The following is a 13,078-nucleotide window of genomic DNA, read 5'->3' as shown; positions in this document are numbered from 1 at the left end:
ATTGTTTTTAATCAATCCATAAGGCAGAATTTAAAGATATTTCTTTCTGAAGAAATATCTTTAAATATTTAAATCCAGGTGACACTTTCCAGCTGACAATGAATGACAAAACAGTGATTTGAAAGGGAAGAGCTATACAGCATCCTTGTAGAACAGTGATGGATTGTTCAGAATAAGAGAACCCCAAAGTACCATATTGCAAATGGAAAAGGACAAAGCCAGGCATCGTGGCTCACACCTATAATCTCAGCACTTTGGCAGGCCTACGCCAGTGTATCACTTGAGGTCAGGGGTTCGAGACCAACCTGGCCAACATGATGAAACCCCGTCTCTACTAAAAATACAAAAATTAGCCAGATGTGGTGGCAGGTGTCTGTATTCTCAGCTACTCGGAAGGCTAAGGCAGGAGAACCGCTTGAACCCAGGAGGTGGATGTTGCAGATCGTGCTATTGCATTCCAGCCTGGGTGATAGAGCGAGACTCCATCTCAAAAAAAAAAAAAAAAAAAAAAAAAAAAAAAGAAGAAGAAAGAAAGAAAAAGAAAAAGAAAGAAAAGGAGGACAACAGAATCTCACCAATGACTCTCTCTCTCTCTCTCTCCATATATGTATATATCCTTCCTCTTCTTTGAATGTAATCCTTCACTCTTTTACCTTTGTCTCATCCCATTATCCACCTCCCAATAATCCTTATTTGCTGAAACTGGCCTTGGATGATGATCTACAAATATAACTAATACAGAGGATACTAACACCTTCTAGGAATTATCTGCAGCTCTAAAGATTAGTCTACCAAGTCAAAATAATATCTGTTGGGTGGAAGGTACAGTGGAGACTTTTGAGCAAAGGATTTTATTCTGTCACAGATATTCTACCAATTCATTTAGTCTTCCTCAGAAACAAAAATAATTTGTCCCTTTTTTCCTTTGTAAGTTGCTCTGCCCCACAAGGGTTAATTTTAAAACAGCTATCATTCCTGTGGGCTAATACAGGGATATAAATATCAGTATCAGTTAAAGTGAAGACAATTTTAAAATGTTGGTAGTCATGTATGAAGGAATGAGGAGGTTATTTCCTAGTACATATCAATTTCCTTCCTTGCTACTTCTCCTTCCTTTCTTTTTATACCTATCTTTTATCTTTTTCTCCTTTTATTTCCCATTCCTCCTTTTCTTTCTGGCCATTACTTTGGACAAGCATATTACTTTCAAAAGCTGTGTCCAAACTGTAGTCTCACAGCTATCTTAACATATCACACAAATCCTCTGACCAGTATATTCCAAAGTTAACTCTTTATATTTGAGCAAGTTGTGGGTTTTCTTCCCTGTACTTTACACTGTATTTTATACTGGGAGAGAAGATTGCAAACATATAAATCAATCAATTAAAAAAAAAAAAGCTGTCTTGCCCACAGCAATGTCAGCTCTTTGCTCATGTGGCCTCTCTCAAATCACAGCTCTTCAGTCACTTCCAAGGGAAATTTGAAAATTATCCCAACAGTGATTGCTCACAGGGGTAATTTAGAAGACTGGAAGCTGTGTCTGAATAAAAAGGCTGGTAAACACTGAATTAAATGGGCACTATAGGTTACTTTTCAAATATCTGGTTCTCTGACCACATACACAAATACAAATCTAAGATAATTCATAACTATCCCAGGTGCAAATTAAGAATAATCTTCTCAATAATGCATATATTTTCGTTTCATTATTGACAAAATAAAAGGCAGCTATAAGAAAACTAGTAAAAATAGTTAAGGTATTAGACAAGGGTCAACTATCTAGATACAATAAAGTTGCAAAGGAATATAAATATCACTCTTACATGGGTAAAGATTCCTTTATTTTGCTATCCAAAATTTCTTTGTACATTGCAGCTGACATCACCTCTTCCATTGGACACATGATGCCATATTCCTCACAGCCATTCTCTTGAACCAAAGGGTCATTTTTATGTGGATCAAACATTATATTATTTGGTGTAACTAGCAGCACACCACTGACTGTGCCCTAAGGTGAAAAAAGAAAGTAACATTTAATCCTCAAGGTTGATACTTCAAAAATTATCTAGCTATTTTTACTAATTTTCTTCTGATGTTAGGCCATATATAAAAATAGTACACTCAGGAACTGTGGCATTCTCATGAAACCATTTTTATTAAAACCCAAGTTTTCCCAGTAAATTCTCCTCTTTAGGAGAGGTAGAATATCATATTTCCCCAAAGACAATCAAGTAAGGAAATAAAATGTGCAAACTGAGTAAAATACTGAGTTACCTCATATCAGAAAGGTAACTTCAGTAAGGTAAGAAGCGCCACCTTTTATGTTAATTTGCATACTGCTTCCTGTGTTATTCCCTCACTACAAGTACCAAATACAGTGTCATGTATACAGTGCAGACTCAATAAATAATGTTGATAATATTATAAAAGGAAAAGAGTATAATATCTTTAAAACATCTCTTTAAAAAATCTGTTTCCACTTGACTCTACTACTACCTAGATTTGTGACCTTGGGCAAGGAGTCTCTGGGCTTATTTCTTCATCTGTAAAATTAAGTAGATTATATGACATCTAAAGTATATAGTGTATATATACTTTTAACTCACCATGAAAAGCTATAAAATTTTAAATATATTTATATAAATAGTGATACAGGGCAGGCACGGTGGCTTACGCCTGTAATCCCAGCACTTTGGGAGGCCAAAGTGGGTGGATCACTTGAGGCCAGGAGTTCCTGGCCAACATGGTGAAACCCCATCTCTACTGAAAAACACAAACTAGCTGGGCCTGGTGGCATGTGCCTGTAATCCCAGCTACTTGGGAGGCTTAGGCATGCAAATCGCTTGAACCCATGAGGCAGAGGTTGCAGTGAGCTGAAATCACACCACTGCACTCCAGCCTGGGCAACAGAGTGAGACTCCATCTCAAAAAAATAAAACAAATAAATAAATAAATAGTGATACAAATCTTAAAAGTTTAACCTTCTTACTTTATAAATGAGCAAACTAGGGTCCACAGGCAGCTGATCATACTAACATGAATATTTATTGAATACTTTATATGTACCATGCTTTATATGCATATTGCTTATTTGATCTTCACAATCATAGCTCTGAGATGGGTAAAACCATTTCCATTTTACTGATAGAGAAACTAATGGTGAGAAACACCTGGAAACTTGTCCTAAACAGCTAGGATTTGAAGTCCAGCTAGTTCATGCTTTATGCTATATATAATTCCTCTGTATCCAAGTCACAATCCATAATCACTCCAAGGGTGCAACATTCCTTAATTTCATTTTCAAATTTTCAGTCCACTATATATCCTGTAACTGTAAAAATGAAGAGCCAGAAAGAATTTTAAAAATAAACTAAATAGCTTCTTATCCAAAGAAAAAGAAAAACTCAAATCCTGATTGATTTGGCATCACATCCTCCTCCCAAGTCCATATTCAGCTCTGTGAATTCACCTGGTTCAACTTTAAGAATATAAAAATTAAGTTATGGCAGATATTGCTTTTAAAAATGATAAAATAAAAAGTAAATCTACAGAAAATGGTCATCCAATCACAAGTGAAAAAAAGTTACTGCGGATGTTCAAGATCACATACAGTTAATGCACACAATATTGGAGAGAAGAGTATATGTGTGTGTGCAGTTTGGTGAGGGAGAGGGAATCCATATGAAACTCTGAATAGCACCTCTTTTAGTTGAGGACGTGGACCACCTAAATAAGGAGTAACTTTATATAAACTACAGCCTATTTCTCTTTCAATTAATATTTTAATGAGATCCATACACATCAGTTTGTATTCCTGGGTCACATACCAACTCAAGTCAATGAGAGATGGTAAAGTACATTGTAGAGAACATTTACATTGTCTAGGATAATCCAAGATGTAGATAATCAAGGATAGAGTATATTTGATATTAAAAAAAAACAACTTTAAAGGTTTCTGATCTTTCATAACTTTCTCTCTCCCATCTTCTGTAAACTTATTTGAGAAAGGAAACCAAGCAATCAACTAGAAATAAAAAAAAAATCAAGCTCTAAATTCTCTGAAACACTTCAGGTTACTCTCCATTTCATAAATTTCACTTTTGCATTAGTTTTAACCAATTATTTGGTTCACTAGCATAATACTACATTTTATCTTTTAGGAAGATTTTCACAAAGACAGTGATAACTAGCTATGTATGACAGAAAAGCCTCAGTATACTGATAATGCTTTTAATTCTCTATATACCTTAATACCTTAATCCTAGTACTGTAACTATACAAATCATTTGAAAAGCATCTCAAAACCATGAGTCTACTTTTTGGATTAGAAAGAGTTTGAAGTCCTACCCACTAGACTGATCAATCTGCTAATGTTACTTTCCAGGAATCTCCCTTATGTGCTATTACTAAAAAGACACACTGATATATTCTTTAAGTTTCTTTCCCTCTGCTACACACTCAAAGTTCCCATACAGCTGGGGCTTTCTGCGGTAATCTGTTAGACATCATTCTCCATAAATCAAGAGTTTGCCAAGAGAAACATTTCTTCAACATAAAATTCATGAAAATGTCTTGAAAAAGTAAATTCTCAAATTCATTTGATCAAGTTGAAAATCATAAGCTTATACCAAAGCACTCCCATCTCATTATTTTTAAAATATTTCATAACTCCTACATATTATCAGGATTATATTAAGACTATTATGAGCAAGACGTTTTCAATTAAAGTATCTACTTAATCCACATGAACTTCAGAAACTTTAAGCACAGATTATTCTTTTGTATTAACAACTTCCATTTCCTTACGTGCAATTACCTGACTAATCTTCTAAAGAGAAATTATTTCTATTAGAAAATAAAGTAAAAAAAATAAAGTCTATCTGCAAAAGAAAAATTACCACTTACATTACAATATTTCTGCAAATACTAAGAGATAAAATCATTATAATTGGGAATCCATCCTAGCAAAGAGAAAAGCTTGTACTGATATTTTTTCAGTCTTACATCCACAATAACTTAGCCATTATAGTTATTGTTAATAAGTTTCCATAATTGTTACATAAATAATCTTTTGTATAATCAACTTGTAGGAAGATGAAAAAAGAAAAAACGACTTCCATGAGAAAGCACCACTTCCTGCTTATCTCCTTTTGTGCAGCAGAATGCACAGAGCCAGCCTATAACAAGGGATTACGTTCCAAAAACACTAGGCTGCAGATCATTCCTAATCCTGCCAATGACCTTATCTTTGCTTTGATCTTTAAATAAAATTTTTATTCAGATATCAAATGAACTTCTGCTTCTAGTCAAGAACTAATGCTGCCTAAAACTACAATAAACACACACATGCATACACACACCAAACTTACACGAACAAAATATGTGACATAATATTTTCAGACACCGGAATGCTAGGCAATGATACCTGAATAAGGAGAAACACATAAGATCAGCTCTTTGATTACCGAAGCATACTGAGTGGAGAAAGTTTCCAGTCCACAGGCAGAGAAAAAACAAGCAAAACAAACAAACAACCCAGAAATGAGCACTGTCCAGTGAGAAAGCTTTAGAGGTCTACAAAGGGTTCCCTTCCAGCTTTGAACTGAGTACTGATTACCACCTACATGTATCGCAGCTATCCAACGATAAGAAGAGAGTACTTGAAAGGAGCAGAAGAATCAATAGTCAGCGCCCACACAGTAAGAATAGTTCGTGTTCTCACTAAACATTAAAGCAAAAAAAAATCTTGTATTTACAAAGCCTCAGAATACTTACAAGTGTATTATTGTCTTAGTAAGGAGAAAAATTAGCTACACACTAAAGGCTATTCTGGTCCTAACAAAACTTATGAACAAGCCATTACCAAGTGATCATCAAAGAAATAAAAGCCACAATAGGATCAAGAAATAACTGTGTCCCAGATAAAAAGTGCAAGAATATATGTAGGAATACAAAAATATTCAGTATCCAATTACATAAAATTCATGATGTCTGGTAGCCAATCAAAAATTACCAGGCATGTAAATAAACAGAAAAAAATGAACCACATTAAAGAGAAAAATCAATAAACGCAAACAGACCCAGAAGTAACAGAGTACAAAAAAAAAGACGTTAAAACAATTATTATAACCATATTCAACAATATAGAAGATTATACACAGTATGGATATGGAAAATATAAGGGACCCAGTATGAACTTACAGGGAGAAAAATTGCAATGTGTGAGATGAAATATGCTGGATAGGATTAAGAGTAGATTAGCCATGGCAGAAAAAAAATTGGTGAATTTAAAAACAAGCAATTAAAATTATCCAAAATGAAAAGAGAAGGAAAAAAGTGAATGGAGTATGAGGGAGCTGTGAGACCCAATGTTAAGTAGCCTAAAATATGCAGAATTGGAGTTCCCAAAGAAGAGGAAAGAGAGGATGGGAGGCAAAAAATATTGGAAGAAATCTGGTCAAATATTTTCCAAATTTGGCATGAACTATAAACCTACAGAACCAAGCTAAAGGAACCCCCAGCAAAACAAATAGAAAAAAATATACCAGGGCACATCCTAATAAAATTGCTCAAAATCAGTGATAAATAGAACATCTTAAGTGCAACCAAAGATAGACACATTTTTTAACAGAACACCAAACATAAAAATAATGCAAGACTTCACTTTAGAAAAACACAAGCCAGAAAACAATGGAGTAAATTTTTAAAGTTCTGAAAAGAAATAAAACCTCATCAACTGAAAATTCTGTCTAGTGAAAATATCCTTTGAAAATGAAGAGGATATCTGGGTAGAAAATAAGCATGTAAGAAGAAGCTCGGCAGCTGCAGCCATTGCCTTGAGTGAGTGTGCCGCTCTCCAGCCCGTTTGAACGCTCCCCGCAGCCACCGCCACCCATTGGAATGGCCAACAGGGGACCTGCATTATGGCCTGAGCCAGGAGGTGCAGCAGAAGATTGAGAAACAGTATGATGCAGATCTGGAGCAGATCCTGATCCAGTGGATCACCACCCAGTGCCGAAAGGATGTGGGCCGGTCCCAGCCTGGACGCGAGAACTTCCAGAACTGGCTCAAGGATGGCACGGTGTTATGTGAGCTCAATAATGCACTGTACCCCAAGGGGCAGGTCCCAGTAAAGAAGATCCAGGCCTCCACCATGGCCTTCAAGCAGATGGAGAAGATCTCTCAGTTCCTGCAAGCAGCTGAGCGCTATGGCATTAACACCACTGACATCTTCCAAACTGTGGACCTCTGGGAAGGAAAGAACATGGCCTGTGTGCAGCGGACGCTGAGGAATCTGGGTGGGTTGGCAGTAGCCTGGGATGATGGGCTCTTCTCTGGGGATCCCAACTGGTTCCCTAAGAAATCCAAGGAGAATCCTCGGAACTTCTCGGATAACCAGCTGCAAGAGGGCAAGAACGTGATCGGGCTACAGATGGGGGGCATCTCAGGCAGGCATGACTGGCTACTGGATGCCACACCAGATCCTTTGATCCCACCCCAGGCCTTGCCCCTGCCCTCCCACGAGTGGTTAATATACATGTAGATATATATTTTAGCAGTGACATTCCCAGAGAGCCCCAGAGCTCTTAAGCTCCCTTCTGTCAGGGTGAGGGGTTCAGCCTGTCCTATCACCTCTGAGGTGCCTGTTGGCAGCCTCTCCCCCGTGCTTACTAATACATTCCCTTCCCCATACCCATCAAAACTGGACCAACTGGCCTCTTCTTTTCCCCTGGGATCAAAATTTAGGGGCCTCAGTCCCTCACCGCCATGCCCTGGCCTGTTCTGTCTCTCCTTTTTCCCCCTGGCCTGTTCTGTCTCTGAGCTCTGTGCCCTCCGTTCATTCCATGGCTGGGAGTCAGTGATGCTGCCTCTGCCTTCTGATGCTGGACTGGCCTTGCTTCTACAAGTATGCTTCTCCCACAGCTGTGGCTGCAGGAACTTAATTTATAGGGAGGAGCCTGTGGCAGCTGCTGCCCCAGCCACAGCTGCACTGACTGTGCTCACCACACATCTGGGGCAGCCTTCCCTGGCAGAGGCCCTCATGGCTTCTCATTTTCCATTCCCTTCACTGTGGCTAAGGGGTGGGGTGAGGGGACGGAGAGGGAGGGCTGCCTACCATGGTCTGGGGCTTGAGGAAGATGAGTTTGTCGATTTAAAGAATTTGTCATTTCTGAATAGGAAAAAAAAAAGACGCTTAATATAATATGCCATTAGAGAATTTCTAATTAACACAGTGAGATATTACCACTACGGATCTATTAGAACGGCTGAAGTCTAAAACACTGAAAACATCAAATGCTGGTGAGGCTGTGGAATAGGGATTCCCATTGCTTATTGGATACAAAATAGCACAGGTCCTTTGGAGGAGAGTTCTTCAGTTTCTTACTAAGCTAACAATGGTCTTACCATACCATCCAGTAATCATGATTCTTGATATTTTACCTGAGATGAAAACTTACCACACAAAACCTGCACATGAATGTTTAAAGTAGCTTCATTTACAAGTGCCAAAACTTAAGAGTGATCAAGATGTCATTTAATAGTGGAATGGATAAACTACAGTACATCCACTCAGTGGAATATTCAGTAATATTAGTAAAAAGAATTAAGGTGTCAATCCGCAAAAGACATGGAGGAATCTTAAACACACATTGCTAAGTGAAAGAAGCCAATATGAATTCATTCAATCATACTCTATGATTCCAACTATATGACACTCTAAAAAAAGGCAAAACTACAGAGAGAGTAAGACGACCATTAATTATCAGGAGTTCAGGGAAAGAAAGGGAAGGAGGGATGAACAGGTGGTGCATAGAGGATTTTCAGCCCAATGAAACTAATCTGGTAATACTGTAATGATAGATAAATGTCACTATACATTTGTTATAGCCCACAGAATGTACAAGAGAGAATCTTATGGGCTTTCCTTGGTGCCTGAATACTGCTTCATTGATTGAAACAAATATAGCACACAAAAGCAAGATGTTAATAAGGGAAACTGGGGAAAGGGGGAGAGTATAAATATGAATTCTAATTTCTGCTCAATTCTTCCGTCCATTTAAAACTGCTCTAAAAATGAAAGTATATTAATTAAAAAAAATTCAATGGACCAAAAAAAGATAAAGTGGCATAAAATTTAAAAGTTAGGGATCCTTTTTTATAAACACACATATAATTTTGAAAATGTACATAAACGTGCCGGGTGCGGTAGCTCACGCCTGTAACCCCAGCACTTTGGGAGGCTGAAGCAGGCGGATCACGAGGTCAGCAGTTCGAGACCAGCCTGGCCAACATGGTAAAACCCCCTCTCTACTAAAAAAATACAAAAATTAGCCAGACGTGGTGGCATGTGCCTGTAGTCCCAGCTACTCAGGAGGCTGAGGCAGGAGAATTGCTTGAACCTGGGAGGCGGAAGTTGCAGTGAGCTGAGATCAGGCCACCGCACTCCAGCCTGGGCAACAGAGTGAGACTCTGTCTCGGAGAAAAAAAAAAAAAAGAAAATATACATAAACATGATAGTAACATTTAATAAAATAAGGAAAAACAGACTTTTTCAAGGCAAATAAACACTGAAAGAATTTATCACTAGCTGACCTACACTGTAAGAAATTTAGAAGTCCTTATATAAAAGGAAAAATGATACAAATGGAAATCTGCAACTATAAAAAAGGAATGACAAGTGTAGGGAATAAGTAAGTGGATAAATATAATAGACTTTACCCTTATTTTAAAAATTATTTTAAATTAACTTTTTAAAGCAAAAATAATAACAATGAATTGTGTTTATAACATGTAGAAATAAGAGGTGTTACGATAAGAACACAAAGGCTGGAAGGGGGAAATAAAAGTATACTGTTGTAAGGTGTGTGTACTATATGTAAAGTGGCATATATAATGCTACTTAAAGTGAGAATGTGACATATTAAAGATATATATTATAATATACATGTAAATATATATAAATATTTTATATTTATATATATATAAATATATATAAATATGTAAATAGATAAATATATTTATCTATTAAATATATATATTATATATAAATGTATTTATATATTAAATATATATATTATATATATAAATGTATTTATCTATTAAATATATATGTATTTATCTATTAAATATATATGTATTTATCTATTAAATATATATATTAATATATAAATATATATATAAATATATAAAAATATATTTATATATTAAATATATAAACATATATTTATATATTAAATATATAAACATATATTTATATATCAAATATATATAAACATATATTTATATATCAAATATATATAAACATATATTTATATATCAAATATATATAAACATTTATATATCAAATATATATAAACATATTTATATATCAAATATATATAAACATATTTATATATCAAATATATATAAAAACATATTTATATATCAAATATATATATAAATATATTTATATATCAAATATATATAAAAATATATTTATATATATTAAATATATATATAAATATATATATAAATATATAATGTATGGCAAAAACAGATAAATAAAACTGAAAGGCAAAAACAGATAAATCCACAATAACAGTGAGATAGTTCAAAATTCTTCTATCAACAACTGACAGACAGAAAATCAGAAATACAGGACACTATCACTCAATTTGATTTGATTGACACTTGTGGAATATTCCACCCAACACAAATATAATGTGTCTCTTACAGTGCACACATTACATTTATTAAAACATACGATATTCTAGACCATAAAACAGGTCTAAATAAAGCCTTCAAATAGTAGTGTGTTCTCTGATCACACAGAATCGAATTAGAAATTAGTAAAAGACAGTTATCTAGAAAAATAAAACACTCTCAAATGGGTCAAAGAAGAAATCAAGAGAAAATATTTTAAAGTAAATGAAAATGAAAACACAACATTTAAAACAATATTTAGGGCAAAATGCATACCACTAAATGCTTATTATGTGTTTCAAATACTCATAAATTTATGAATTATACTTCAAAGAAATAGTTCTCATGTGTGAATTCTAAAGGCAGTATCATGTTATAGACATTTTTTGAGCAAAATCTGGAGTTTATTTTCCAACTCTATTACTTTACTATATTCTCTTTTCAGATTAGAAGTTTTTGCTTAGAAAAGCAACAAAGTGAAGCAGACAAAATAGATTCTGGGCTGGGTGCGGTGGCTCACACCTGTAATCCCAGCACTTTGGGAGGCCGAGGCAAGTGGATCACCTGAGGTTAGGAGTTTAAGACCAGCCTGACCAACATGGTGAAACCCTGTCTCTACTAAAAATACAAAAAGTTAGCCAGATGTGGTGGCGAGTGCCTATAATCCCAGCTACTCAGGAGGCTCAGGCAGGAGAATTGCTTGAACCCAGGAGGCAGAGGTTGCAGTGAGCCGAGATCACGCCATTGCACTCCAGCCTGGCTGATAAGAGCGAAACTTCATCTCAAAAAAAAAAAAAAAAAAAAAAGATTCTGACTAGGTTTGAATTCTGGCCATTATAGAGAGATCTTGGACCTATTAACCTTTCCTATGAACCCTTCCTGTTTTGTTTTTCCCTGTGGAAAAGAAATATGACTGCCTATTTCACAAGATTGTTTTGAATTGATAAAATAATTAAGATACCTCAAATACTCTCTGGCATATAGAAGGTACTCAATAAATACTAGATATCTTCCTATTTGTGTGCTATACTAGTTATACAGAAGTTCACACTCCACACAGTACCTGGCAGCAGTCATTTTATTCACACTTTTGAAATATCCTACCAACAGCAACTTAGCTGTGCCTTAGTGAATTTATTTATATTCCATTACTTTTAACAATTACAACAGATCACCAGACTCTAAGTTATAAGCAACATCCATACTAACCCAAAATAATAGTATCACTAGTACCTTTCTATAATATTCAAGCATTTTCTGACATTGATGACTTAAAATGTAAATGCCAAACTATCATACATTAGTAATAACTAAAGCATGATTAAAGGTCTTCTCTAAAGTGTCATTCTTTACCTTGCCACTGGTAATATATTTGCAATTAATTTTAAGAAATTTCTCAGTAAATGCTTCCTCCTCCTCAGAAGTTGAAGATACAACTCGTGCAGGTCGAATACCAGTGAAAGTAGATGAGGGAGTTGCTTCTGTTGGATGGACATCAGGATTCTTTTTTTTTTTTTTAAAGGAAAGAAAAAAAAAAGCAGAAAACAAAATAAAAATGAGCACACTATTAAAAAGTCAAATGAATAGCTTTCCCCAATAAGTGTTGTTTCATTTCACCGCATTCTGGAAGTCAGCCCGAAATATTTTTACGTACAAATTATAGGACAAAAGTGGCACTATTTTCATATTCAATAAAGATCACAAACACAGGTTAAACTTACATTTATAGTGATTTTTAATAGGGAGATACACATATCTATAAATTTAAAAAATAAAATAATCTGGAGAACAGTGAACACTACATCTCTTGTACCCACACCCAACACATACACACACGTGCACACACACTCAGATGCTCCTGAATTAAACCACTGACTCTGATAAGACCATATAATATAATATCCATCAGGTGCTGGGAGCAGTAAAAAGGTGGAAAGCTTACCTTAGTACCTAAGCATACAGCAGAACCCATTCACTGGAATAGCCTTTTAAATCTCGAGCTACAGTTGATAAATCCCATTCCACTAGATCACAAGTTTCTTAACTTTTTTGGTGCTACTGACCATTCTTACAGTGAAGCCTATGAACCAGCTTCTCAGAATGTTTTGGAATGGTCAAAATAAAATAGAGAATTATAAGGAAAAACAAATGGAAACAACATGGTATTAAAACATTTTTTAAAAACAAACTAGAGGTATAGTTATATATATATGTGTATATATATATGTGTGTGTGTGTGTGTGTATATATATAGACACACACACACATATATACGCTTCTTGGTTTTTTTTTGTTGAACTTAAGCTTAGCCAAGTTCAATAACTTGACAAATGAGTAAGGAGCTAAGATGCAAACCTATGTTATCAACACACAAACCAGTGAGCTTAACTGTAAT

General features: G+C 35.2%; 1 protein-coding gene and 1 pseudogene across 17 annotated transcripts in view; one reads left to right on the top strand and one right to left on the bottom strand.

Moving 5' to 3' along the window:
- Window positions 1–13,078, bottom strand: part of OXR1 (oxidation resistance 1) — a 482,517-nt gene that overhangs the window by 47,781 nt on the left and 421,658 nt on the right. For 15 of the 17 annotated variants that reach the window (XR_001745547.2, XR_007060735.1, NM_018002.3 and 12 more), the window contains 2 exons: window positions 12,037–12,186; window positions 1,824–2,008 (listed from right to left, as the gene is read on the bottom strand). Coding sequence is in view for 15 of the 17 variants with exons in the window: in NM_018002.3 (NP_060472.2) it covers window positions 1,824–2,008; window positions 12,037–12,186 (335 nt within the window). In the remaining 2 variants the exon portion in view is untranslated. The remainder of the gene's footprint in view (window positions 1–1,823; window positions 2,009–12,036; window positions 12,187–13,078) is intronic. The other 2 variants (XM_047421921.1, XM_047421922.1) reach the window with 1 other exon arrangement.
- Window positions 6,819–7,687, top strand: TAGLN2P1 (transgelin 2 pseudogene 1; annotated as a pseudogene).

This window comes from Homo sapiens, chromosome 8, assembly GCF_000001405.40.
Source record: "Homo sapiens chromosome 8, GRCh38.p14 Primary Assembly".
Lineage (NCBI taxonomy): Eukaryota > Metazoa > Chordata > Mammalia > Primates > Hominidae > Homo > Homo sapiens.
Note: the sequence above shows the minus strand (reverse complement) of the source record. Positions and strands in the feature narration are given on the sequence as shown.